The following is a 27,988-nucleotide window of genomic DNA, read 5'->3' on the forward strand; positions in this document are numbered from 1 at the left end:
TACACAAATAAAAAGGACTATAAGAAAATCTATAGACAATTAATATGCCGATGCATTAGATAACCTACGTGAAGTGGACAAATTCATGGCCGAGCACAGTGGCTTACGCCTGTAATCCCAGCACTTTGGGAGGCCGAGGCGGGCGGATCACCTCAGGTCGGGAGTTCAAAACTAGCCTGACCAACATGGAGAAACCCCATCTCTACTAAAAATACAAAGTTAGCCGGGTGTGGTGGCGCATGCCTGTAACCCCAGCTACTCGGGAGGCTGAGGCAGGAGAATTGCTTGAACCCAGGAGGTGGAGATTGTGGTGAGCCGAGATCACGCCATTGCACACCAGCCTGGGAAACAAGAGCAAAACGGCGTCTCAAAAACAAAAAACAAAAAACAAAACAAAATTCCCAGATTAAAAAAAAAAAAAGAAATGGACAAATTCCTAGGAAGATATAAACTATCAAAACTAAATCAAGAAGAAGTAGAAAATCAGAATATGCCTATATAAGTAAAGAGATTCCATTAGTAACCAAAAAACTTTCTATCAAAAAAAACCCAGGACCAGATGGCTTCATGGCAAAATTCTACCATATGTTTAAAGAATTAACACCAACCCTTCACAAACTCCTCCAAAAAATAGAGAAGGAGGGAACACCTTCCAACTCAGTCTACGAGGCCAGAATTAGCCTGACACCAAAACCAGACAAAGAATCACAAGGAAACTACAGACCAATATCCCTCATGAATATATACACAAAAATCCTCCACAAAATGTTAACAAACCAAATTCAGCAATTTATAAAAAGGATTACACACTAACCACACCCTGATCAGGGACTCCTGGCCCGCGCCAGCGACAAACAAAGCACAGGCACTCCAGAGACAGTGACCAGGGGGACTCTAATGTTTGGGACCAGGGCCCAAGTGGAAAGGCAGGAAAATAGCTGGGATGCTGGTGCAGTGGCGTCTCAGGCCGTGGCTGCCAGCACTTAGAAAACATCTTATCTGTGAACATCTTTTTTCCAAATCAGCCCATGTAAGTGGGACTCTCAGCAGCACAGATGCCTGTCTTTGTCCAGGGGTGTTCACACCAGTGCCCATCCATGGCATCTGCCTCTAGAGGCTCACTTGGTGTCTGTACCGAGAGGGGGAAAGCAGGATTTTGCCTACCTTGCAGCCTGGTTGGCTATAAAATAGCAGAGAAGTAAAAAAAAAAAAAAAATTTATATACCAAGTCCCCAGGGTAATAAAGTAAACTGACCATTTATTACTCCCCTCTCCAACTACTATACTTAAATAACTTTCTGCAGTCAAGGCAAGTGCTTTTTAAGAGTGCAGAGGCCATCTGTTTGCCTTTCCTGCACTGTCTTAGACACACACAGGCACCCCCACCGCCCACACATGCACACACGCAGCTCTGTGCTGTTCGAGAATCAGATATATTTATGCTGAAACACCCTGCTCCTGCTGCCTAAAAATAAAAGAAACAAAACCGATGCTTTCTCTGGGGAGATTCTTGCACACTCTAACTTAGACAAATTCTTCTCTTTAAACTGTTTTTTCAACCACCCACCACCATTTGCACTCTCATAAAAGCCTTTTTCAATCCAAGAAATGCTGACAAAGAACTGCTTCTTAATGTCTGTACTTTGTTCCCTCAGCATTAAGTCACCATGCCTGTGTTTTAGCTAAAAAAGCCTTAGGATTTCCCCCTACTCGCTCGTTTTCGGAGTGCCTCCGTCCATTCTGATGAAGCACACTCCTCATTAACATTCTCCCTCTCAGACAGGGCGTCCACACAAGAGGCTGTCAGCCTCCCTGTGAAGGCCACCCGAGCTATCAAATGCTCCCGGGAGCTCCTGCTCATTTGAGAAGTGCCTGCTTCTAGGAAAGCCCTTTGGCACAGGCAAAATACCCATCTTCAGTAAAAAAGCGTCCCAGGGCCCAGGCCACCTGGCTGCCACCTGGCTGCCACCTGGGCTTCAGCCACTGTCATGCAATCTGGTCCCCAGATTGAACAGCAAGAATGTGCTGGCCAGGCCCTGCCCTGCTGGTCACATCAGGCATCCAGGAGGCGGGAGTGGCAGAGGGAAAGGAGTGCTGGACTAAGAGGTCAGGCCCTGGATAGTGACTTGACTCTCTGCTGAATTCCCTTCAGAGCCCCAACCTGCTCGTCTGTCACATGCGGCAATTGTCCCCACCCTCGCTTCTCCCCAGGTCAAGTGAGGAAATGGACAAGAAGAAAGTGGCAGAGGGCCAGGCAGGGGAAGCATCCCGGGCGCAGGCCTCACCTGTCCAAACACATAGAGCAGCCCGATGGTGCCTCCCGTCTGCCCACCCAGGACCGAGGAGATCATGGAGTAGACGCCACCGCTGCCGATGCTGCTGCGCTCCCCGACGCCAATGCCAGACAGCACCGTGACGAGGGCCACCAGGATGACGAAGGACACCAGGAACATGCCCAGGAGCACTCCTGTGTTTCCCTGCAGCAGAATAGCAAGGAGCAAGGTTGGATTAGGTGAGGAGGCCCCGCCAGCTCCCTGCTGGGGGCATTGACCACCTCCCCTCCTCCCACAGCACTGGAATAGGGGCCAGGGGTGGGGGCACAGAGTCAGGACAACTAAAAAGGACAAAGCAAGCACCACAACAGCCAAGGCCAGGAAGAAGTTCTAAGTGAAAGGAAGCGTCCTGGCTGCAAATTCTTCAATGACTCTCCCACCTATAGGGTACAGTCAGAGCTGCTGATGCCCTCACGAGGTGCCTCCTAATCTCACTTTGTGCCTGACGTGCAGCGACAAGTTCTCTCCCCACCCCCACCCCTCCTCATGCTGATTCCCCTGCCTGGAAGGCCTCTCCTGCTCATTCTGTACCTTTGTCAGGTTAACTCCAGCATATCCTTTAGGCCTCAACGTTTAGGATTTCTCACCAGGAAGCTGGCCCTGTAACCCTTTCTCTGGGCTCCTCCAGTGCCAGGGCTTAGTACTTTTCACAGGACTTGTCATATTGAGTCTGTTTCCAAGCCAGTTTTGACCTCTAGGCTGTGAGCTCCAGGGGAGGATGATATGGTTTAGATGTTTGGATTTGGATCCCTTCCAAATCTCATGTCGAAATGTGATCCCCAATGTTGGAGGTGGGGCCTGGTGGGAGGTGTTTGGGTCATGGGGGTGGACCCCTCGTGAATGGCTTGGTGTCCTCCCACAGTAATGGGTGAGTTCTCACTCTGTTCGTTCACAGGAGAGCTGGTTGTTTAAAAGAGCCTGGCATCTCTCTTGCCTTCTCTCCGGCTACGTGGCACGCTGCTCCCTCTTCACCTTCCCCCATGAGTGAAAGCTTGCTGAGGCCTCACCAAGTGCAGATGCTGGTGCCATGCTTCTTGTACAGCCTGCAGAACTGTGAGCTAAATAAACCTCTTTTCTTCATAAATTAGCCTCAGGTATTCCTTTATAGCAATGTAACATGGACTAATACGGAGCAGGATCATGTTTTCTTCCCCTTCATATTCTCAGTGCTTAGCATAACCTCCACAAAATAGGTGTTCATTAAATGCTTGTTGAGCGAATAAACAAACCATGCATGGCTGGAGATGAACACATGTAGACAGACACATTTCAGTGTGAAAAGCAAGAGTCGCAGAGAGGCAGTGGACACAGCACTTCTAAGAAGGAGATGTAATGTCACATGTTTTGCAATAGAAAGCAAGGAAGACTCCTGATAGTCAAGACTTCATGTGTTGTGAGTGCTGGAGAGGGTCCTAGGAGTGGGCAGAGCCAGTTCAAGAGCTGAGTGGCCTAACATGAGCTGGAAAATTGTCCTGGAAGTCAGTTGTACTCTGTTCCAGTGTTTATAATATAATGCTCAAGGGCTCCACTGCTGGTCTGAGACCCACCCTGGCTGTGGCTAAGGCCGAAACCTGAGCTGAGGATCTGAGTGTGGTGTAGAATGAGAGCTTAGGAAGGTCTGGTCTTGCCCAGACTTCTTATGGGGGCTAAGAATCCTGTACATCCCACTATAAAGGAGCTTAAATCTCCCCAAATTTGCCTATGTAATGGTTAATTTTATATGTCAACTTGGCTAGACTACGGCAACTAATTGTTTAGTCAAACACTAGTCTAAATGTTGCTGTAAAGGTGATTTTCAGATGTGATTAATATTTACTATCAGTTGACCTTAAGTAAAGGAGATTACCCTCCATAGTATGGGTGGGCCTCGTCTAATCAGTTGAAGGCCTTACAAGCAAAGGCTGGTTTCCCAAAGAGGAAGGAATTCTGCCTCCAGGCTGCAATACAGAAATTCTTCCTGCATTTCCAGCCTTCAGACTCAAGACTGCAGCATCAATCCTTACCTGCTAATATATACATGACATACTTACATCTCCTGTTGGCATTGGCCTGTTTCTCTGGAGAATCCTGACTAGTAGATTCTACACCTTGAATGGCCTCCTCTCTTTCACCCATCTAGTCCAGCTCACCCTTCAAAGCCTGGCTCAACTGCATCTCCTCCAGGAAGGCTTCCTGACACCTCAGTGACTGCAGCACTCATAGCCTGTTCCACCCCAAGGGACTTAATGCTGTTTTCAGAACTCTCCTAATGCAATATCTACCCACCACAGCTGTTAGCTCATAGGGCGGGGCGGGGAAGAGAGGAGGGGATGAGGGCCCAGGCCATGTCTTGTCTTTTGTGATCCCACTGGCACTAAGTAGTGCTTGGCCCACAGCAGGTGCTCATCCATGTTTAGATGGTGACTGGCTTGCCTTTTGTTCTGCGCACCTGTGTGGTCTACTGAAGTCCCACTGCATGAGATGGCACTGTGTGTGGGACTGAGAACCCCTGCCCCAGGCACACATCTGCTTGGAAGGTCCTAGGATGCTTTGCATAAGAATTAAAGAAGAGGCCTTTTGTTCCTTCTACAGGGGGAGATGAACTGACCCCCAGGATCTCACACAGCAGAGTCCATCCTAGGCAATCCATCCCTAGAGGTAGGCGGCCCACACCTCTGACCAAGCATCCCCATGCACAGTCTTACCTACAGGGTTGCAGTGTGGTGGGGGAAGGCAACCATGTGGGCGGGCCCAAGATGAAGTGAAGAATACCGGGAAAACTACAGAGGGCCACAAGCTGGAGGCAAAATTGCCATCAATCTGATCTCTCTGACCCATCTCAAGTCCGGCTCATGATGAGCCCTGACTTCTGTGCTCCTATTCTGCAGTTAAATCTATGGTGTGAGGTTTCCATTAGAAATTCGGAAGCCTATCTTCACAGGATGCTCATTTAACAAGCAATGCTAGCTATTCATCGTGCTTGCTTCTGTTTCGTGTTTCAGGAGCATCTGTGCTTCAGGAATCTGTGGCCTGCACTGTAGAATGCAAGAGTGGCAGAGCTTTCCTGTCTTGGGCCCGTGAGAGGCTCCAGGCCACCAACTCAGCACTCACCACCAGCCAGCCAGTCCTCAGGAAGAGCACAACCCCAAAGATGTTGATCATGCAGGATGTGAACACACCATCCCAGGTCCCAAACAGCACAGGCTCCCACATGAACAGCTGGGTCTTCCACCAGGGCTGGGGCTGGGCCAGGGCATCCTGCAAACAGAACACACAGAAATCAGCTGAGGGGCCATTGGGAGGGCCAGGGATGGCATGAGAGTGGAACAGGAGGAGGGAGGTAGGAGAACTCAGCTTAAAAACAGTCCTGTCTTATTGTGCCAGGGCAAGTGTGTGTGTATACACACATGCATGCACATACACACACATGCGCACACACACATCTTGAAGCATACCTCTACAAAAGGATCACTGTTCTCTTGTAACAACAGTGATTCCGTATCCATATGTAGCAGAGACTCATTATTCACAAACGTAGTCCTTTTCCTCTGGTCATCACTCAAGTAGTCAGGGAGTCAGGTAGACTCCCAGCCTCTTTGCAGCTAGAAGTGGCTGTGTGACTGAGTTCTAGCCCATGGAATGCAGGCAGAAGCAATAGATGACACTTCTAAGTGAGTGTGAGATTCTGGGTTTCACCTCCTGGGGCTCATGGTCATGAGCCCTCTTCATCCTCCAGTCCTAGCAGGGACAGCAGCTTCCGGCAGTTGACATTTGGCCAACCTTACTGAAGCGCTCTTTGCTCCTTCAGCCCTTCTAACACCTCTGCAATCAGCCCTGTGGATGAGATTCCCTGTTTAAAATGACTGAAGTTATTTCTGTTTTCCTTACTGAGCACTAATACAGTGATCTCTGCTGATACCCCAGGATTCTTCAGCATTACTGGACAATTGTTTGGAATCAGAGGCGAATAATGAAAAAACAGATTCCTTGCTCATTTTTCCAATTCACAAATAACAAAGGCACTTATAAACACTCAAATGGAAACCCTTTACTAAAAAAACCATAACTTCGTGGATATACTAAAATGATCTTAAACAAAACCAGTAGTAACTCACACTGTGAATGCTCTTATGTAGGTTTGGCAATTAATCTAAACTCAGGCATGAACAGAGTCTTCCAGTGACCACAAACGACTACAGCAGTGATTACGGTTCTCAGCTGGGTGGGGTGGGTGGGGAGAGAGAGGCATCCAAAGCTAGGAGTCACTGTGTGCAATGAATCTGGACCTGGTGAGCAAATGTTATCCATAAACACAATAAAAAGGCAGAAAAATCAAGAGTTTAGGGAAAAATCCAAGATCCAGAGTCCACGGGGCATGGCTCCTGAATGGCTGAGAACAATGGGTGCGCCCAGGATCTAGAACCAAAGGCTAAGGCCAACGGCATGTGCTCAAAACCAAAAGGGAGGATCCCAGCTCCTCTTCCACCTCCTGTATCAGACATCCACAGATCAAGAAGGGGCCTCGAGAAATACTCAGGGATCTCAATTCAGCCACATGGGACTGATGGGCCAGGGGACCCCTTGTGTCTCCGTCAGTCTCCAACTCCGTAAGCTTCATTTATGCATGTACATGACTGCTTGCCTGTCCTTCACAAACCACAAATGAGCAATCTCCTGAAAGTCAATAATTGTCAGAACAGTCCTCGTGGTTCGGAACAAAGACTCTGCCAATCTAGGCTTGTCCTTGAGCAAATGGTACCAAAGGACCTGTCTGGGGAATGCAGGAGTGTTTCCCAGGATCCTCATCTCGAAATTCAGGATGGGTCCCAACTTCCTGTCTCTGCTTGTGTTCCACTTCCTATCGTGGCTTGCTACAGGCCGACTGTTCCTCAGTAATAACAGTGACTCTCAGCAACAAAAAGACTAATACTGTAGAGAGTGCCATCAGCTTCCACAGGAGCTCTCTGCTCTGCTCCTCACGGCAGCCCCGTGAGGCAGGCCGGGAGGGGGCCCCACTGAGGGCTGAGGAGATGGAGGCTGAGAGAAGAAACCTGACGGCCCAGTCTCACAGCCAGGGCTTCCCCCAGCACTTGTAAGATCTGTGCTTTTCCCTGCCCCACACTCACCTAAACATTACTTGCCCTTTTTGCCCCTAAATTTAAGTCTTTCAGGTTTCAAATTCTAACACTCTGGACTTTGCATAACTGCGAATACATCTGCCTTACCCATGAATGCCTTTGTGATGACAGAAACCTTATTCCTCTTTCACGCGTGCCTTCATTTTCCCATTCTGAAGGCTGGTTTGCATATGCGTTTGTTTACCTGCTGGTGTGTGAAATGCCTTTCATTTCCTTGATCTCACTGGACTAGTCAATCAGCCTCAAGGGTAGAAACTTAGAGCAGGTAGAAACTTCAGGAAACCCTTTACCCTGAGAATGAAAATATAACTGGTTTAAAATGGGTTTGGTGACTGAGCCCTGGCAGCTTGTTTCAGGATATTGAGGGGTGTGTACCTACCTTTTCTCACCACATGACAAAAAACTATAACTCAGTCTTCCCACAGTCTGCTCATCGGAGACTGGGTGGGAAGAGCGTAGGTTTGACTCCAAGGGAGTAACCCTGATGTTCTTGGAGAAAGAGAGAGACACTACATAAGCCCAGCAAGAGACAGAGAAAGAAGGAAAAGGACGAAACCAAAACAGAGAGAAAGGGGAAGAGGATGAGATGGAAAGCCCCAGAATAAAATGCCAAATAAAGCCCCCGAGGGATATTTCCCAGATGCCACGCTGCCTCCCAGGCATCCATGTAGAAATAGCAGCTTGGGGCTGGGCGCAGTGGCTCATGCCTGTAATCCCAGCACTTTTGGAGGCTGAGGTGGGTGGATCACTTGAGGTCAGGGGTTTGAGACCAGCCTCGTTAACATGGCGAAACCCTGTCTCTGCTAAAAAATACAAAAATTAGCCGGGTGTGGTTGTGTGTGCCTGTAGTCCCAGCTACTCGGGAGGCTGAGGCATGAGAATCACTTGAACCTGGGAGGCTGAGGTTGCAGTGAGCCGAGATTGCACCACTGCACTCCAGGCTGGGTGATAGAGTGAGACCCTGTCTCAAAAAAAAAGAAGTAGCAGCTTGTGTGTCCCCGCTCTTCTCACAGATCCCTTGTCCAGGCTCGCCACATTTGTGATGCCATTCAGACTTTAGCTAGTGCCCAGAGCTCGCCTCTTGGGAGAGGACTGGCTGGAGAACTCAAAGCAGCTCCCTTGCGTCGTGAGAGCTCTTGCTCTGTCCTGCGTGCTCTCCCGTTCTCTTCAGCTCCTGCTCTGACAGGCTGAGGGGCAGGACCACGGTCTGCAGTACGGGCAGACATGTAACATGAGGACAGAATGTCAGCTCCCGTCCACATACACACAAAGTACTGGATTCTCCTGAGTCTGCATCCCCAATTCCTTCCCCTGAGGCAGAAGGAAGGAACCCCTCAACCCAAATAGGCCCTCCCACAAAGTCCACGCTAAGATTCTCTGAGTGCCACCACCCAGTCATTTCTGTTGCCCAGGGGAGGAGGGGGTGGAAGCGCTGGGGTGATGGTTGCTGAAGCTTAGGCCAGTTCCAGGCTCTCTTGTTAAACACCAGGAGAGAGGTCTGGTCCCAACCATGGGTAGCTCTCTTTAGGACCTAGTGTCCCAGATTTGGGCCCCAGTCCTCAATTCCAGCATAACATGAATCCCATTCAACATCCTATTACATAGACATAATGGGCTGGGGAAAAGGAATGTACCCTACACCCAGGATTGAGTCTACAGCAAAGTAGAGATAGAGGATGAGGGGGATAAGAAAAGCAAGGGGCAAATCAATCCCTCAGAAAGGGCAGCATAAAACATGCCTGAGGGCAAGAGTCCTCTCCTCCCTGAAGACCCTCAGCCTGGCAGGGGCCAGCTTGACAGGTTCCAGGGGTGCGGCGACTTGGCGCCTGGCCCAGGATGATCCCTCTGCCATGCTCCTCATTGCTAGGGTCTTCCTTCCCAAGCCCCCAGGACAAGAAGCCAGACTCCTGTCCCTCTGAGCCCAGGGGCCTGCGCCCCATGCTGGAAAAACCATGACTGCCTGGTGGGTGTTTTTAGTTCAGAAGGGGAAGTCGTTCTCCTGTGAATAATCTCCATACTTGAGCGAGGTGGGGGGCAGATTGGTGGGGGTAGGGGGTTGTCTAGAAAGGTGGGGAAGTTGCACCTGAGTAGGAAATACTCTCAATCCTGCATCCAGCAAGCAGAGCTGAGTAAGAGGCTGGAAAGTTCTGCCAGAGGCAATGACATGAGCTCAGCCCCAGAAGCCTTTTGCCTCAAACAGTCACCAGCTAAGTCTTCATGAATGCATCTGCAATGTCAGATGACACCTTTTCTCCTTTCTGGGAGCTGGAGGAAAAGCAATCAGGTGAGAAATTCTGCTTCTGTCCATTCAGGTCAGGGGTGTAGGTGGAAGCAAGACCCAGCCTGCCCCTTTCTCCCAAAGTGCACCTGCAGAGACTGGTTCCACCTGGATTACATACACATGCGAACCAGCAGATGGCTTTCTGAAAGTTAATATTGGATTATTAATTAAACATCAGAGAATATACCCAAGCTGCTGCTGAACTGCAGTCCAATGGGCAGACTGAGGAGCCTCATTCCTTTCCCCTGCCTCTGAACCGGCCCCATGTGCTGGACCACAGGGGTTGAGAGCTGGGCCGGGCGCCAGCATGGCTGTGGGTTCCATGGGCCACAGTCCACATGTGCAGCTACATGCCTGCCTCAGGGGGGTTTTGTAAAGTTTAGATGAGATGATAGTTGTGAAAGTTTGTGTAAACACAAAACACAACAGAGGATTTTAAATATACATGAGGATTTCTTCAGGGAAGTTGGAAGGAAGACAAAGAAGTCTTTTGACTGCATTTGCTGCTTTCCCCAGCTAACTTGTCTTCATGTTTAAAGTGGAATCCTTGCTCTACAGCTCAGCCCTGAAAGCTGCATCTCTAACCCCTGCCCAGCCCAGGCATTCTGAGTAAGAGAGAGCCCATCCCTTCTGTTTTGTAGTGGGAGTTCCAGAATGGACCTCCATTGAGTGCTGCCCCATGTGACTGATGCTGGAAATGGAAATGGCTCTGTAGCCAAGGAAGCAAGGATCCAATTGGAGCCGTCAAAGTCTGATTTCCCTGGGTTAGGATCTGGGCAGCACCCTTGGTCTGTATAGATTTAGTCATTCCTAGAAATGTGAGGTCTTCGTGGCTGTGTCAGTCTCTTCTACCACAGAGCTGGTATGAAAGCTGGGGTTGAAATCTAGTCATTCCCACAGACTCAATCTGTTGTTTTTTTTTTTTCTCCATATCTGTGCATCTTCACACTTGTTCAAGGCTGGGATTCTCACAAGGGCATGACCTGGTCACACATGGCTCAGCCCGCAGAGTGGCAAGACCATCAGAGGCTGTGAAAACTTTGATGCCGAAGTTCTGCCTCCCAGGACCACACAGCAGCCTCAAAACTCAGAGCCCAGAGATGAGCTCTGGAAATCTGATGTCGTCTGGCAAATGACAAAACCCCACAGCAGCCATGTCAAGGCCACCTAAACAAGGGCTTCCTCTGCCCTTCCCAACCTCCTTAGCAAAAGGGCAGAGCTTTTCCTGCTGGACACAGGCTGCCGCTAGGAAGTCTACCTGGATTTAACACAAGGAGGAGCAAAATAGACCCTAATGCCCTCCCCCTAATAACAGGCGAACCAGTGAAACATCAGCTGCAAAAAGGTTATCATTCCAGGTGCTTCAGTGGATCAGCCACTATTCTATCCATTTAAGAATTCTTATGTAGTGAGTAGACCCATTCATATAGTTAAAATTTTTGGAATCATGTTAATATTTTACATATACTCAAAATCAAATACAATTAAATCAACAAAGATGAAAGTTAAAAATCTAAATAGAATGCAAAGAGAAACAAATTATCCTAGCTGTATTTCAAATGAATGACGTAACCATACTTAAAGCGGAAAAAGAACTAACCAGAGTAACTTATGAACACAGTACTTTGACTATGTATCACATTCGAAAACAAAAATAACTGCAATTAATATTAAATGCCAGATAGAAAATTTGGGTATTTGTAGGAGTATGAATTACCAATTCTAAATCTGCTTTCTGTGAATTATAAGCAAATAACAAAATATATTGAATAAGAGTCAAGTTTCTCACAGTTGGAGAAGGAATTCCAACTAAGGAAATAAGAGAAGAATAACCCCCATACTGAGGAATTGGAGTTAGACGTATTAGTATGAATTTATGGTTTTTAATATATAGAGACCTAGATAGATCACTGTACATATTTATATTTACATTCTTTCCCTCTGCCCACTTAAAGTGTCTATAAGGCCAGGCACAGTGGCTCACACCTGTAATCCCAGCACTTTGGGAGACAGAAGCTGGATAATTGCTTGAGGCCAGGTGTTTAAGACCAGCCTGAGCAACATAATGAGACCACACCTCTACAAAAAATAGAAAAAGTAGCCAGGTGTGGTGGTGCATGCCTGTAGTCCTAGCTACATAGGAGGCTGAGGCAAGAGGATTGCTTGAGCCTAGGAATTCAAGGTCACAGTGAGCTACGATCATGCTGCTGCATTCCAGCCTGGGCTACAAAGGAGACCTTGTCTCAAACAAACAAAAAAAGTGACTATAAGCCAAGACATCCCAGTGGCAATGAACATACCTAGCACCCAGATCTTGATTTCTAAATATCATTCTTCACTTTAAGGAACCAGGGCTCCTTGCAGAAGTTGCTAATTCAAGGCTAGGGCAGAGAACGTACAAAATGAGTCTGGAATATCTTGTACCAGAAAGTAGGGAAGTGCTAAAAAGAAAAAAATGACAAGGATGTGTCAAAAGGACACAAGAGCCACTTGAAGGGGCTCCCACTAGCCAAATCTGGCACAATTTGGCCCTGAAAGTAAATAATAGCAATAGAATATTCAAGGAATAGAATAAGAATCTGAGTCCATACAGACATAAATAAATTAATTAACCGATTTTTTTCTTTGAGACAGGGTCTTGCTCTGTCACCCAGGCTGGAGTACAGTGGCATGATCACGGCTCACTGCAGCCTCAACTTTCCAGGCTGAAGCAATCCTCCTGCCTAAGCTTCCTGAGTATCTGGGATTACAGGTATGCATCACCATGCCCAGCTAATTTTTGTATGTTTTGTAGAGACAGAGTTTTGCGCTGTTGCCCAGGCTGGTCTCAAACTCCTGGGCTCAAGTGATCCTCCTGTCTCAGCCCTGCAGAGTGCTGGGATTACAGGTGTGAGCCACCCCACCTGGCCATGACTAATCATAATATATCTATTTCTGCTCATTGTCACTGAGTGGACCTGGAGGCTGAGGGCTGGAAGAGCAACTGGAATTGCTGTAGTGCCAAATATATCCCCTTTTATACTGATGTGGCTCTGTCAAGGGTATCACTCCTGTGTGGGAGCAAGAAGAGAAAGCCCTTCCTTACAGTGGAAAACCAAATGATCCATGTGGAAGGAATTATGGGGTTAGAAAATCACCATTTTGCAGCCATCACAGCAATAGCCAGCTCTGCCAAGAATCATCAATGGATGCTAATGCTAGTGAGTGAGGGATTAATGAGGAAGAGGGTATTTCTATAGTCTCAAAGCATCTACAAATTACTTATTAACAAAAAAGAGAAATTAGTAACTTTAGAGGGGATTAACCTAGTGGACACCACCTTAAATAAATAGCCAAAGTTAACATCACCAATAATGGGACAAATGGAAATTATGTAGCTCCTACTATGATGTCCTGGGAAAAGTACTGCATCACTGCTATGGTGTTCCTGCCAAAAATAGAAAACCTAAATCTACCTGTGACAGGTCATGCCCCAAACTGAGGGACATCATCCCCAATTCTGCCTATAAAATACAAAAAAACAAAAATAAGAAAACCTGAGGACATTCTACAAAATAACCAACATGTGTTCTTTAAAAAAAAAAAAACAAAACAGTCAAGGTCATAAAAGACAAAGAAAGGCCAAGGGACTATTCCAGATTAAAAGAGACTAAAGAGATTGTCACAACTGGCCAGGTGCAGTGGCTCAGGCCTATAATCCCAGCACTTTGGGAGGCTGAGGTGGGTGATCACCTGAGGTCAGGAGTTCGAAACCAGCCTGGCCAATATGGTGAAACCCCACCTCTACTAAAAATACAAAAATTAGCTGGGTGTGGTGGCGGATGCCTGTAATCCCAGCTACTCGGGAGGCTGAGGCAGAAGCATCGCTTGAACCTGGGAGGCAGAGGGTGCAGTGAGCCGAGATCTCACCACTGAACTCCAGCCTGGGGGAGAATAGTGAAACTCTGTCTCAAATAAAATAAAACGAGAGAAATCACAACTAAGGGTCATGTATGATCCTGGATTGGATCCTGGAAGGAGGTCTTGGGGAGAAGCTGGGGGATGTTAGTGGGATAACTGGTAAAATTTTAATGTAGAGCTACAGATTAGACAATAGGATTTTTTTTTTTTTTTGAGATGGAGTCTCGCTCTATCACCCAGGCTGGAGTGCAGTGGCGTGATCTCGGCTCACTGCAAGCTCCACCTCTCGAGTTCATGCCATTCCCCTGCCTCAGCCTCCCCAGTAGCTGAGACTACAGGCACCCGCCACCACGCCCGGCTAATTTTTTTGAATTTTTAGTAGAGATGGGGTTTCACCGTGTTAGCCAGGATGGTCTCGATCTCCTGACCTCGTGATCCACCCTCCTTGGCCTCCCAAAGTGCTGGGATTATAGGCGTGAGCCACCATGCCCGGCTGACAATAGGATTTTTCTATGTTAAATGTCCTGATCCTGAAAAAGATACTGTGGTTAGGTAAAAAAACATTCTTGTTCTTAGGAAATAGACACTGAAATATTTATGGATAAAAGGACATGATGTCTGCAAATTGTTTTTATATGGTTTAGAGAAAATATATACATATATATAGAGAAAATGGTCTAATGATAAAGCAAAAAGGCAAAGTGTTAACAAGTGGTCAATCTGAATCGACTGAGTCAAGAGTATGTGGGGTTTTTTATTGTATTATTACAACTTTTCTGTAAGTGTAAAATTTTGTCAAATAAATAAATAGGTTGCAAAACATTATGAATGTATTTAATACCATTGAACTGTACACATAAAAATAGTTAAGATGGTAGGCCTGGGGCAGTGGCTTATGCCTGTAATTCCAACACTTTAGGAAGCCAAGGCAGGAGGGCCACTTGAAGCCAGGAGTTTGAGACCAGCCTGGGCAACATAATCAAACCCCTTCTCTAGAAGAAGGAAAAAAAAAAAAAGGCCAGGTGTGGTGGCACATGCCTGTAGTCCCAGCTACTTGGAAGGCTGAGGTGGGAGGATCGCTTGAGCCCAGGAGTTCGAGGCTACAATGAACTATGCTCACGCCACTGCACTCCAGCCTGGGTGACAGAGCAAGACCTGGTCTCAAAAAAAAATAAAATAAAATACATTTTTATAACCAACTATAATAAACATGAAAATACAGTTCCAGAAAAAAATGGTATAAACCTTGACAATGTAAAAATAATAAAGCAACTATTAAAAAATGGAAATGAAATGAGAGAAATGGAAGGAAGTGTATGTGTGCCAACGTCCTATTTTTCATATGGGAAACAGGAAGTAAAATGATAACAAATTGGTAACCTAAGAAACTGAGGTATAAGAATATTATTTAAAGTTACAGTGAGAACAATTAGAAGACATGAAAACCAGAAGCCATTAGCAATGACTGCCACTGGGGAATAGAAGTGAAGGAAGAGGGAAGGAAGGCTTTTCATTTCATGTCATGCTGTATTGTGTGAATCCTTCTCACTTCATGCATGTAGTACTTCTATGATAAAAACCCTAGACCAGCCACAGTGGCTCACACCAGTAATCCCAGCACTTTGGGAGGCCCAGGCAGGCGGATCGCTTGAGTCCAGGAGTTTGAGACCAGCCTGGGAACATGGCGAAACCCCGTCTCTACTAAAAATACAAAAAATAAGCTGGGCATGGTGGTGTGCCCTTGTGGTCCTAGCTATTTAGGAGGCTGAGGAGGGAGGATCATCTGAGCCTGGGAGGTTAAGGCTCCAGTGAGCCATGATCGTGCCACTGTACTCCAGCTGGGAACAGAGCGAGACTCTGTCTCAAAGAAAAACAACAACAACAACAAGAACTAACTTATTTTATGTTTAAAGAAAAAATTACCACATTATTAGAAATATTTTAAAAACAGAATGGGTTTTTTGGCTGACCTGGCATTAGGGATACCATTTATGGCTATATGTCATTTTATTCAGTGGATGAATTCACCAAAAGATTCCTGTGATTTCAATCACATTTTAAAATGTATTGAATACATGGAATACTTAAAGATGGTGAATCCTTTTGTAAAATCAATGTCTACCTCAAAATTCTTTGTGTATCTCTAAGTTTTTAAATTTGTTTTTGCTTTGTGTTATTCTTTACTAATAACTACCTAAAATTAAAAAGGAAAGTGACTCAAAAGGAGTCATGGCTTTCGGTTTTAAGTTGAATTCTATGAACACGGAGACTCATGGTAGAGCAGGAACGCAACTATTTTTGGCTTAGTGAGGGTTGCTCAGCCACCATTGCCTCAAGTTAATCAGTAAGCTCCTAAAGCCTGTAACCAGGGACAGTGACCATGGATGTGATTTACCGGATATCTGCAAACTGGGAAAAGAACATGCTAGAATTTTTACACAGGTGAGTGGTTTTTACCACACTACCCTTTTTTCTTTCTTTCTGACTGTTCGTGTGGGGAAGAAGACATTCACACAACAAATCAAAAACAAACAGGCTGGACACGGTGGCTCACATTTGTAATCCCAGTGCTTTCAGAGGCTGAGGCGGGAAGATCACTTGAGGCCAGGCAAGGAGTTCATCACCAGCCTGGGAAACATAGTGAGACCCCATCTCTACAAAAAATTTAAAAATTTGCCAGACATGGTGGCATGTGCTGTGGTCCTAGCTACTTGGGAGGCTGAGGTGGGAGGATCCCTTGAGTCCCAGGAGTTTAAGGCTGCAGTGAGCTATGATCACATCACTGCACTCCAACCTGGGCAACAGAGTGAGACCCTGTCTCTAAAAACAAAAAACAAAAGGAATGTAAATAGGACCTTTCTCCCAAGCAGTGGTAAATGTTAAAGCATTATTGTATTAGAAATGCATCAAAGCCGGGTGAGGTGGCTGATACCTGTAATCCCAGTACTTTGGGAGGCCCATGGGAGGATTGCTTGAGCCCAAGAGTTCAAGACCAGCCTGGGCAAAATGGCAAAACCCTGCCTCTACAAAATATTTTTAAAATAACCAGGCATGGTGGCATGCACCTGTGGTCCCAGCTACTCAGGCCCAGGAGGTTGAGGCTGCAGTAAGCCATGATTGAAAAAAAAAAAAAAAAAAAAGAAGCATCAAAGCTTAAATAGGTACTACCTCTAAAGACTTTTCACGTCAAGCGCACCCACCCTTTGATTAAGGTGTTAAAATTCAGAAAGAAAAAATTTAGGAATTAGATTAAATTATACTTGATAATTATTGAAGAGCAAAAAGAGATACTGAATTGAATTATACTGAAGTATGTGTATTTCTTTTTAATTTAATTTTTTTTGAGATGGAGTCTCACTCTGTCACCCAGGCTGGAGTGCAGGGGTTTGATCTCAGCTCACTGCAACCTCCGCCTCCTGGGTTCAAGTGATTCTCCCACCTCAGCCTCCTGAGTAGCTGGGATTACAGGCACCTGCCTCCACACCCAGCTAAACTTTTTTGTATTTTTGTAGAGACGGTGTTTCACCATGGTGGCCAGGCTAGTCTCGAACTCCTGACTTGAGGTGATCTGCTCACCTCGGCCTCCCAAAGTGCTGGGATTACTGGCATGAGCCACCTCGCCCAGCCGTATGTGTATTTCTCTTAATCCTACTACAATTAATTGATAATGTTCTAGGAATATAGAACTATCTAATGTTTTAACTGTTATTCTGAAGAGATGTGTTTTGGCCAGAGAAAGTATAAAATGAATGAAAAGGTAAGCTAAAACTCAGTTACTCTCCCCTACAGGAAGCCAGGGTGTTCAATCAGGCCAGGCGGCCAGAGTAAAAGCACCACCTAATGGCACCTTATTCAAATTACAAGAATAGTACTTCAGAGGCATTACCATAGCATCTAGGCTTTCCTTGCAAACCCCAGACGATTAAATGATGGCAAATGCAGTATTTTGTCTATATCTGACCATGGATGAAATTTACCTTAAGGCAGTAAGAAGGTTTGAAGTTACCTAGTCCCTCTATTCATAGCTAGGCGGAATGTATTAACCATGTTTTTTTTTTTTTTTTTTTTAAATCTGTATCTAATGATGTTATGACAACTTAAAAATCTTGCTGACCAAGGACATGAAAAACCTCTACAATGAGAACTACGAAACACTGATGAAATAAATTAAAGAGGACACAAACAAATGGAAAGACATCCCATGCTTAGAATTATTAATGAGAAGCCGGGCACGGTGGCTCAGGCCTGTAATCCCAGTACTTTGGGAGGCCAAGGCGGGCGGATCACCTGAGGTCAGGAGTTTGAGACCAGCCTGCCCAACATGGTGAAACCCCGTCTCTACTAAAAACACAAAAATTAGCCAAGCGTGGTGGCAGGCACCTATAATCCCAGCTACTTGGGAGGCTGAGGCAGGAGAATCGCTTGAACCCAGGAGGTGAAGGTTGCAGTGAGCTGAGATCGCATCATTGCACTCTAGCCTGGGGGACAAGAGCGAGACTTCATCTCAAAAAAAAAAAAAAAAAAAAAGAATTATTAGTGAGAAGAATTACTATTGTTAAAATGGCCATACTATGCAAAGCAATCTACAGAGTCAATACAATCCCTATTGAAATACCAATGACATTGTTCACATAAATAGAAAAAAAAAACCCTAAAATTTGTATGAAACAACAACAAAAAATAAGCCAGAATAGCCAAAGCAATCCTGAGCAAAAAGAACAAAGCTGAAAGCATCACACTACCCAACTTCAAAATATACTACAAAGCCATGGTAGCCAAAACAGCATGATATTGGTATAGAAACAGACACATAAACCAAAGGAACAGAATAGAGAATCTGGAAATAAATCCACATATTTACAGCCAACTGATTTTCAACAAAGGTGCCAAGGACATATATTGGGGAAAGGACACCCTCTTCAATAAATGGTACTAGGAAAACTGTATATCCACATGCAGAAGAATGAAACTAGACCCCCATCTCTCAACCTATACAAAAAGCAACACAAAATGGATTAAAGACATAAATGTAACACCCAAACTATAAACCTGCTAGAAGAAAACATAGGGGGCATGCTTTGGGACATTGGTTTGGGAAAAGGTTTTATGGCTAAGATTTCAAAAGCACAGGCAACAGAAACAAAAATAGACAAATGGGGTCATATTGATCTAAAAAGTTTCTGCACTGCAAAGGAAACAGTAGAGTGAAAAGACAACCTGTAGAATGGGATAAAATATTTGCAAGATATTCATGCAACAAGGGACTAATATCCAGAACATACAAGGAACTCAAACAACTCAACAGCATAAAATGACTAATCCCATTAAAAAGTGGGCAAAACATCTAAATAGACATTCCTCAAAAGAAGACACACAGATGGCCAACAGGCACATGAAAAAATGCTCAACAGCACTAATTATCAGGGAAATGCAAATCAAAACCACAATGAGATACCACCTCACACCTGTTAGAATGACTATTATCCAAAAAATGTAAAATAACAAGTGTTTGTGGGGCTTTGGAGAAAAGGGAACCCTTGTGCACTGTTGGTGAAAATGTGAATTATTACAGGCATTATAGAAAACAATATGGAAGCTCATTAAAAATTAAAAATAGAACTACCATATGATCCAGCAATCCCACTGTGGGTACTTATCCAAAGGAAAGGAAATGAGTATATCAAAGGGATGCCTGCACACCCATGTTTATTGCAGCCCTATTCGCAATAGCAAAAGGAGTCAACCTAAGTGTCCATCAACAGATGAATGAATAAAGAAAATGTGGTAAATGTATACAATGGAAAACTATTTAGCCATAAAAATGAATGAAATCCTGTCATGTGCAGCAACGTGGATGGAACTGGAGGTCATTAGGTTAAGTGAAATTAACCAGGAACAGAAAGACAGATATCACATGTTCTTATCCATATGTGGGAGCTAAAACAGTTGACTTCATTGAGCTAAATAGTAGAATGATGGTTATCAGAGGGTGGGAAGGGGATTGGGGGGATGAAGAGAGGTTGGTTAATGGGTATAACTGCATAGTTAGATAAAAAGAGTAAGTTCTAGTGTTCTATAGCAAAGAAGGGTAACTATAGTCAACAATAACTTATTGTATATTTCAAAATAGCTAGAGGAGAAGATTTGAAATGCTCCTAAGACAAAGAAATGATAAATATTTGAGGTGATGGATACCCCAATTACCCTGATTTGATCATTACACATTGTATATATGTACCAAAATATCATATGTACCCCCATAAATACGTATAATTATTATATATCAACTTAAAAATGTTTTAAAATCTTGCTGGCCTAGGAAAGACTGACCCTCTCAGACCTAGTCAATTCTCAGAGAGAGCAAAAGGCTTAGCCATGAACACAGCTTTCTTAAGCAAAACAACCAATGCTGAGTCTATACCACCAAAGACCACCTCCTCATCTAACTCACACACCAAGCCAAGATTTCTCCTGACCCCAATCATCCCAGAGCCAGACACCCGGCAACCAGAGGCCACCCCTATAACCCAGAGCCCACTAGAATTGTTCAAACTGCCAGTCCTAAGCTGTCCACCGTGCCCTGCCTTTCCTCTCCTGCAGAAACCCCAATAAACCCTCACTCCTGTCTTCAGCCCCCTGAGCATCCCTGGTGCTTCCCTGTGACCCTGCGTGGCATAGTGTATTCTCTCTTCTCAAGCAAGGTAAGTAACAGAAATCTTTCAGTGGCATCGACCTCTGCATGTTCTCACCTCTGTAAGTTAAAATACGGCGGGTACAAATGAGTCACAGAACCCTGCCTAACTCATTTCAGTGAAGAACACTTTCACTCCAGTTTCTAGGTGGGACACTTTTATCCAGAAAATGTCCCCACTCTATTTTTTACAAATATGCAGCATTTGGGGCCCAGTTGTCATTTTCAGGCAAAGTAACCAACAGGTCTTTAAAGTGGAAAGGGGGAAAGACAGAGGAGAAAGAGGAAAGGATGTCAGTGTGCATATGAAATGCTTCCGCCGCATCTCAATCCTGAGAACAGGATCTGCTGTTACTTCTCTCCAGCTCCAGGAGCATAAGCCTCTTGTCTTCTGCTGCCTTTAAAGTTGCTTCCGTCCATTGACCAGAGGTGGTTTTATGGTGAAGCTAACAGCTTAAGCCTTAGGACGCATCATTTGGCATTTGGTCCCTTCCAAAGATTATGCCAAATTTTCTATTTGCAATTTGTATCCTTTTTACTAGAGAGTCCATAAAAATGGTATAAGCTTCATGCCCTACAAGACCTGGGATAGTGAGGGGGTCATGGCTCTAGGAATCCCAGAATTGAGCCCTGCTCTTCCACCCAACCATTTGGGCCCCAGTGTCCTCATCTTAAAAAGAGGGGCTTCAAGAGATATAAATATGCTTAAAGAAAAAAAAGAGGGGCTAACAAGACTGTCTTGTCTGAAGTTCCCTTTTCCTTCCTCCTCAGCTGCATTCATTTTTCTACATCTACTAATAAAGCAATATGCTATTGCCTGGCACATGGCTGCTGAGGCTCACATAGCTTTTTAAAGATGCTAAAACAGCCCTGAAAAATGCATAGTAAAAATAAAAGTCAGTTCTTAACCATACACTGGCTAATGAGCACTCAGAAAATATGAGCCAAGCTTTTGCAATGAAGCCTGACACCCATACTCAAAATTGGATATGTCAGGGTCAACTCAGGGCTGTGTTCTGGGGCCAGTAGCCTTGCTTCTAACCTGGTTCTGCCTTCTAACCTTGCTCTGGGCAAGTCACTCAATATTTACGTCCTCCTGGACCCACTATTGCTGGAACTCAAGTCTCTGGGCTTGCTTCTTGACACGACAAGCAAATGGACTAGGCCAGAAGATCTCTGAGGACTCCTCCATGTCTTGATTGTTTGGTTCTATTTCTATCTACCTCTCTTGCCAGTGCCACTTCTCTATTCACCATTGCCCCAAAACTTGACCAGGCTCTATCTTACCACACCAAGCTAACTCAGGTAAGCCATCTAATTGAAGAGGAAAAGACAGAGAAAAAGTGTGTATTAGTCCGTACGTGCATTGCTATAAAGAAATACTTGAGACTGGGTAATTTATAAAGAAAAGAGGTTTAATTGGCTTATGGTTCCACAGGCTGTACGGGAAGCATAGCAGCTTCTGCTTCCAGGGAGGCCTCAGGAAACTTTCAATCATGGTGGAAGGCAAAGGCGAGGCAGGCATCTTATGTCACCAGAGCAGGAGCAAGAGGTCCTGGGAGGTGCTGCACACTTTTAAACAACCAGATTTCATGAGAACTCACTCACTCACTATCAGAACAGCATCGAGGGAATGGTGCTAAACCATTGGTGAGAAACCACCCCCAGGATGGAATCATCTCCCACCAGGCCCTACCTCCAACACTGGGAATTACAATTAAACATAAGATTTGGTGGGGACACAGATACAAACCATGAGAGAGCAAGAGAGGAGAGGACACAGAAGGGAAAGAGCTGGGACGCTGTACAAGAAGACGGAGCAGAGTCAGAACCCAGGCAGGTCTCAGCGACCTGGAAACTCCTCCTCCTGTGCTTGGGCCAGTCACAATGGTTCTGACGGGGAGCCTGCTCCCACGGCCTGCAGCGGGTTTTTTCTAGAATAATTAGCCAGACTTTGGCCTGCAGACCTCCTAGAAAAGGGTCCACATGGACCCACTAGTGCTACACTTCAAGTCTCTGTGGTAGAGCAGAATGCAGAAAAGCATGAATCCAGTGTACTAGTTATATTGGTTTTTGGTGACTTATTCTCAGGCCAGCTTCCCTTTTAAGTTCCTGTTGAGACCCTCCAACCCTGAGAGAAGAAAGACAAAAGCCTCAGGCTAGCTGGAGGCACTTCTTATTCCATAAGAACTAGGAGATTGCTGTTGGTTTTGTACTTGTTTTAGTATATCCAGCAGGAACTGGGGATCCTGGCAAGAACTGTCATTCAATAAACACCTGGTAAATGAAACCGAGTTTTCTCCCTATTCCCAACGCTAAGAGCATGAGATTCTGCAGGACTTCAGACCTCCACACAGCTTGTCAGCTTGCCATCTGTTTTTGTCTCAGGCTACCTGCTTTCTCCTGCCAACGCAGTCTTCCTGAAACACCCAGATCGTCACAGTCCTGTCTGTCCAGTACCTGGCACAGACAAGCACCCAATCATGGCTCATTAGCCTTCTGTTCACCTCCCTCTGCACTGGCTGTTTCTTTCTTAGTTTTCAAGCCCCAAGTTTCACAGCCTACTCCGCTGGGCTTCTGTGTGCGATCGGCTTCATCCAATCATCAAATGAGCATTTTACTTAGTGCTTGTCATGAGAGAGGCACTGGCCCAGACCCTTCCACATATGGCATCTCCTTTAATCTCATAAAAACCCTGAGAATCAGGTCCACTCACCCCATCACATAGTTGTGGAAATAGACTGGGAGCCTGTGGGTAACTTGCCCAAGGGCCCAGCCTATCCAGCAGCACAGTCAGAATGGGAAACCCAGAACCCAGGTTTGAGTCTACCACCAGAGCACACAAAGTGCCTCCAGACAGAGGCCCCTGGAACAAGGCTTGGCCTGCCAGAAGTTCGGTGGGTCTCCAAACACACACTCACATTCCCAAACCACTCCAGACTCACCCAGGCCTAGAAAGCACACATCATCCTCAATAGACTGCCCACCCAGCAGGTTGTCTGGAACAATGTCCCACATTCTGGTGTTGGCCCAAGGTATGATTTTGGGTTTGAGACTCCTGCCTTATGTCTTCTGCCTGACTCAGCTGTGCTGAGTCATGCATTGATTTGCCAATGGATCCTTCTGCTCATTTATACCACTACCCCCTGGATTAAATACATACTCCCCTTAGTTTAATTATTAGCCATTTATATAATATAAGCTGAATGCTGACCAGGAACCAAGCACTATACCAAATATTTACACAAATTATCTCTTTTAATTGTCTTCATTCTCTATGGTAGTTTCAATCACTGGGCAGTCATTTTGTAGGTGAGGAAACGGAGGCTTAGTGAGGTTACGAAACTTGTTCAAGGTCACAAAGTATTAGAGCCAGGACTTGACCCAGGCAGCACATGCACCCTCGACCACCACACCATTAACACTCAGATCTACAGCTCCTTCCCAGCTGGTTCACTTATTACTGACCAATCTACACACACACACACACACACACACACACACACACACACACACACAGAGAGAGAGAGAGAGAGAGAGAGAGAGAGAGAGCTACCCTATCTGGTCCTAAAATGATTAAAGCCAAACCAAGAGTCCATTCATTCACCCTCCACCTAACTTCCAAGTGTCCCCACCCTTGCCAAACTTCCTGTGAGCCACTTTCTAATCACCGTGACCAAGAGAAGAGCAGGTCAAGACTGAAGGTGGCATGACACCCACTAGCCTGTCTTCCCACTGGGCACTGCCTCCTAATCTTGTGTTCTGCAGGCCCCAAAGCTCCTAGCAGAATTTCTGATCCCCAAGACTGGAATAAAATTGTTCAAAGGTTCCCAGGAAATTTCTTGAGGGCTAGCCACTCCTAGAGTTCAGCTTCCAGCATTTTAGCCACCTAACTTACTCTCTGTTCCCACGCAGAGGTCCTTAATTTGCCATCTGGGTGGCTTTGCTTATACCATTTGGAGCAGGAGGCACATAGCAAAAAGGATGAAAGCTTGGGACTTGGCATCAAACATGCCTGGCTTTACAGTGCTACAGTTATTCTTGTGTCAAACCAAAATAATCATATCAACTTCAGAATGTTGTAGTGGAGATAAATGAGGTAATGCATATTAAGTGCTCAGTATACAGTAAGTGCCCACTAATTGGTAGCTATTATCATTTTCTCACCCTCCCACCTGGAATATGCTTCCCAAGTCCACCATATGTTCCACTTCCACCATTACTTTAAGACTTAATGCAAATGGCAACTCACCCAATTCCTAGCCAGGTAAGTTCAGTTCAGTAGAACCAACACTGATGGGGCAACTTCTATACACAACACACCATGCCAGGTATTGGGGATACAAAAATAAATAAGACATGCCCCTGAATTTAAGTTCACAGCTTTAAGGGAGACAGAAAAGAAGCAGCTCATTTCAATGCTACATGGTAAGTGCAGTGACACAGGATGCTGTGGAACAGAAGGGGTGAGTTAACCATCACGGAGGGCCCTGGCGGCCAAGATGAGGAGTCTGAGCTGAATTCTGAAGGCAGTGAGAAGCTATTGAAGGAATTTAAGCAGAGGGGTCAAATGCACAGATCTATGCTTCATAAAAGCATCACTTTAGTAGCAATGTGGAAAAAGAACTTAGGAGAGTATGAATCATCCAATCAAGAAATGGTACCTTAACAAGACAGTGCAGGGGAGGGAGAGAGAAAGAAAGGATGGATTTCTAAATCATGAACACCAAAGGCCTTAAAATTGGGCATTGGGCCATGTCCAATCCTTCGATGTTTAGCTATTAAGGGAGAAGGAGGCAACACAGAGGTCATTGTATCCATCACATTTTAGAAATCAACTCTCTCTTAGGGCACTTATGACAATTTAACTTGCATTGTGGTTTTCTGTTGTTTGTTCATGTGATCAATCAACTAAAATTTACTGTCCACTTAAATACCAATTTAAATACTTAAATACCACTTAAATACTTGGGTGAAGGTTTCAGTGACAAATTGTTGATAAGAAGCATCAGCAAAGATCAAGGGAAAGATATAAGCTCTGGGGAATGGTGTGGTTCAGCTGGAAGGTGTGGCAGGAAGAAGAAGATGTGGGGAACTCGACTTGAGACTCAGGTGGGGTCAGACTGTATAGGGCTGAGGCTGAAGAGTTTGAGCCCTGAGTGGTGCACATGAGGAGACACTGAAGGTTTTAAACAGGGGAGAGAGGAACAGATGCCATCACAGGGGAGATCTCAGAATGTCTTATTTGTCTCTCCTTTGGGAATTCCTGGGCCTCACATTTTCTGTCTGGGTTTCTTGTTCATTGTTGATTCTCTCCCCTCTGATGGGGCTTGTCCCCCTGTTACAAGGCTGGGAAACCCTCCTGCCACTCTCTAGAAGCAGGAAAGAAACCCAAGGGATGGTGAAAACTTCATGTTGAGTGATCATGGATGGCAAAGACCCTGGGTGCACATAGTTTCTGGATAAACACTTTAGTATGGTTTATTATTATTATTATTTCTTAAGGGATCAGCTCTCCATTTCTGGGTAGAGCCACTTCAATTCCATATCTACAGAATGCATGTAACTAATGATCAGCAGGGAGAAGATAAAGAAAAAAGAAGAAAAAAAAATAGCAAACACCAGGGCATTCAGAAATCCTTTTGGCTTCAGAACATAAGAGTTTTTTCAGAAATAAATTTACCTTCTTACATTGGTTTGATTCAGAATTAAAATGAGTTCATATTATCTGAGTCCTCACTGTGACTGTCTGTGGAAGACCTCTCAGGATGGAGTTTGGAGTTGTGGGGGATCCCAGGATTCAAAATCCACCACAAATAATGCCAAAGGTTTTCTGTATATGAACAGTTAATAATGGCTATAATATTTTGGCTATAATATTTTCTCATTGAACTGGATGACCAAAATAGACTTTGGAGTTAATTACATCTAAAGGGTGCGCTGTAATGTTTGCATCCAGCCCACTGTCTGGGGATCCCCGTGCTCACAGGCCTCCATCACAGACCCTGGCACATCCTGAGCCTACCTGCTGGGCTGCCTCATGGAAGAGCTCCTGCACCTGGGACATCTGGGTCATTCTCCAGCAAGCAGGGATCCTGGTGATCTGGACAGGGAGACTGCTCTGGAAGGTAACAGCATCCTTGGTCAGGCTGGCTTCTCCTCTCCTCTCCCCTTGTTGTCCATCCTTTCTCTCTACTAGAATTGTTCAAACTACCAGGCGAGGCCCTGGCTGAGGAAGAAACCTTGTCTACCTCATCTGGAAACTTGGCCGGGTTACCTTTTTGGTACCCAGGTAGATCCCGCTGGTCCTTCAGTGCCCACCTGTGCTCAAACCTTGCTGCCCTAGAACCTCAGGCACTCCCAGCTCTCTCCTTCCCTGAGCTCCTTAAATACGTGAGGGTCAGAGCCAGCTGCCCTGCTGCCCAGCCCTTGAGGACACAGAGTCACACTCCTCTCCCACCCTCAAGTGCCTCGTGAACCCCTCTCTCCAGGAGGAGGGCATCATGACGCACTAGACCTGGCTGCAGGTGGTGAGTGAATGTAGCTGCGCCCTGAGCAGAGGGGAGAGGGGCCATGAGGAGGCTGTTTTGGGGCCCTTCTGGAGCAGGGCCGGAGAAGGGTAGGAGATTGAAGAGGGTGAGTGAGAAAAGGCTGGACAGGACTAGGGCAGCTCCTCAACCCACCCCCAGGCACCCTCCCCTTCGCGCTGGACCTGGCTTTCCTTGAGGGGAGGAGGGAGTTTGTCCCCTTGATCTGTGTGGCGCCTCTCCCCAGCACAGTGCTGCAAGGTAGACGGGGCTCAGGACCCTTTGGTAGAAGGAGGAAGGGGGAGGAAGAGAGCGAGGGGGAGGGTTAGAGCTGATCTTCCTGGGAAGAAGGCGACTAAGGACAGCAGCCAGCGCTGGCGAGGAGGGAAGGCGCCCGGAGCACTGAGTGGGGGGTTGGGAGAGGAGGGTTAGCCCAGTGGGAAGCTGGGAAGGCTGGGGGACTTGGTGGGCTGCAGTCCTGCCAAAAGCCGGGTGACAGGTAGGGAGCCAGAGCACCCGGGTGTCCCCGGCTGCCCGCGCCGCACAGAGCAAGGGACCCCAGGCCTCCGCTCGCCCTTCCCGCCGCCCCGCGGCCTCCGCAGGCCGCCCCGCAGGCCTCCGCCCACATTCACCTGGCTCCTCCGCGGAGCCCCTACCCTCACGTTTGGGCCACGCTGGGACCCGGGCCCCTTGGCACCCCACGCAGACGCGGACCCGCACCCCAAGTACTGGGGCCAGGCCCGTGTGCCGGCGCGCGGGTGACCGGCGGTAGGAGAGGATCCACCTGGGCGGGGAGGTGGGGGCAAAGGTGACCCCAGGCCTGGCTCCTAACTGCGGGCCGGGGAGAGGAACTGTCCCGAGACCACCCTCTCCACCCCCCACAGCCCTTCCGCCCTCACCTGCTCCTGGGACAGCCAGCTCCCAGCGCCCGGCCCGCCCGGTCCCCGCCCCGCCGCCACGTGGCTGCCCCGGCTCGGCTGCGCGGGTCCCAGCTGTCCCGTCCCGGCGGGGGCACCCCTGCCACGCCAGCACCGGGAGTCTCGGGCCCAGGTGGCGAGGAGGCGCTGCAGAGGCTTTCCCTCCGCAAGGGTCGGGCCTTCGCGCCTACCTGGACAAGAACATTCACCTGGGTAGGGGCA

The 27,988-nt window shown here is 46.5% G+C and overlaps 1 protein-coding gene across 2 annotated transcripts in view, besides 5 other annotated features; it reads right to left on the reverse strand.

Moving 5' to 3' along the window:
- SLC12A8 (solute carrier family 12 member 8) overlaps positions 1–27,797 on the reverse strand; it is a 130,105-nt gene extending 102,308 nt beyond the window's left edge. The window contains exons 1-4 of one of the 2 annotated variants that reach the window (NM_024628.6): positions 27,749–27,797; positions 26,348–26,443; positions 5,424–5,570; positions 2,286–2,477 (exon numbers count right to left, since the gene is read on the reverse strand). In NM_024628.6, coding sequence (NP_078904.4) covers positions 2,286–2,477; positions 5,424–5,570; positions 26,348–26,398 — 390 coding nt within the window. In that variant the 5' untranslated portion in view covers positions 26,399–26,443; positions 27,749–27,797. Of the gene's footprint in view, positions 1–2,285; positions 2,478–5,423; positions 5,571–26,347; positions 26,449–27,748 lie in introns of those variants that run through there. The other variant, NM_001195483.2, reaches the window with a different exon arrangement.
- Positions 16,144–16,223: an enhancer, noted in NCBI's record as "active region_20427". NCBI's record gives its function as "activates an Ori minimal core promoter by ATAC-STARR-seq in GM12878 lymphoblastoid cells {active_cell/tissue: GM12878}" and the evidence as "EXISTENCE:reporter gene assay evidence [ECO:0000049][PMID:35858748]".
- Positions 26,918–27,517: an enhancer, noted in NCBI's record as "H3K27ac-H3K4me1 hESC enhancer chr3:124930713-124931312 (GRCh37/hg19 assembly coordinates)". NCBI's record gives its function as "activates a minimal SCP1, AML or CMV promoter by ChIP-STARR-seq in naive H9 embryonic stem cells {active_cell/tissue: H9 hESC(naive)}" and the evidence as "EXISTENCE:reporter gene assay evidence [ECO:0000049][PMID:30033119]".
- Positions 27,409–27,458: a silencer, noted in NCBI's record as "silent region_14663". NCBI's record gives its function as "represses an Ori minimal core promoter by ATAC-STARR-seq in GM12878 lymphoblastoid cells {active_cell/tissue: GM12878}" and the evidence as "EXISTENCE:reporter gene assay evidence [ECO:0000049][PMID:35858748]".
- Positions 27,469–27,688: a silencer, noted in NCBI's record as "silent region_14664". NCBI's record gives its function as "represses an Ori minimal core promoter by ATAC-STARR-seq in GM12878 lymphoblastoid cells {active_cell/tissue: GM12878}" and the evidence as "EXISTENCE:reporter gene assay evidence [ECO:0000049][PMID:35858748]".
- Positions 27,729–27,878: a silencer, noted in NCBI's record as "silent region_14665". NCBI's record gives its function as "represses an Ori minimal core promoter by ATAC-STARR-seq in GM12878 lymphoblastoid cells {active_cell/tissue: GM12878}" and the evidence as "EXISTENCE:reporter gene assay evidence [ECO:0000049][PMID:35858748]".

The sequence above is a fragment of the Homo sapiens genome, chromosome 3 (genome assembly GCF_000001405.40).
Source record: "Homo sapiens chromosome 3, GRCh38.p14 Primary Assembly".
NCBI lineage: Eukaryota > Metazoa > Chordata > Mammalia > Primates > Hominidae > Homo > Homo sapiens.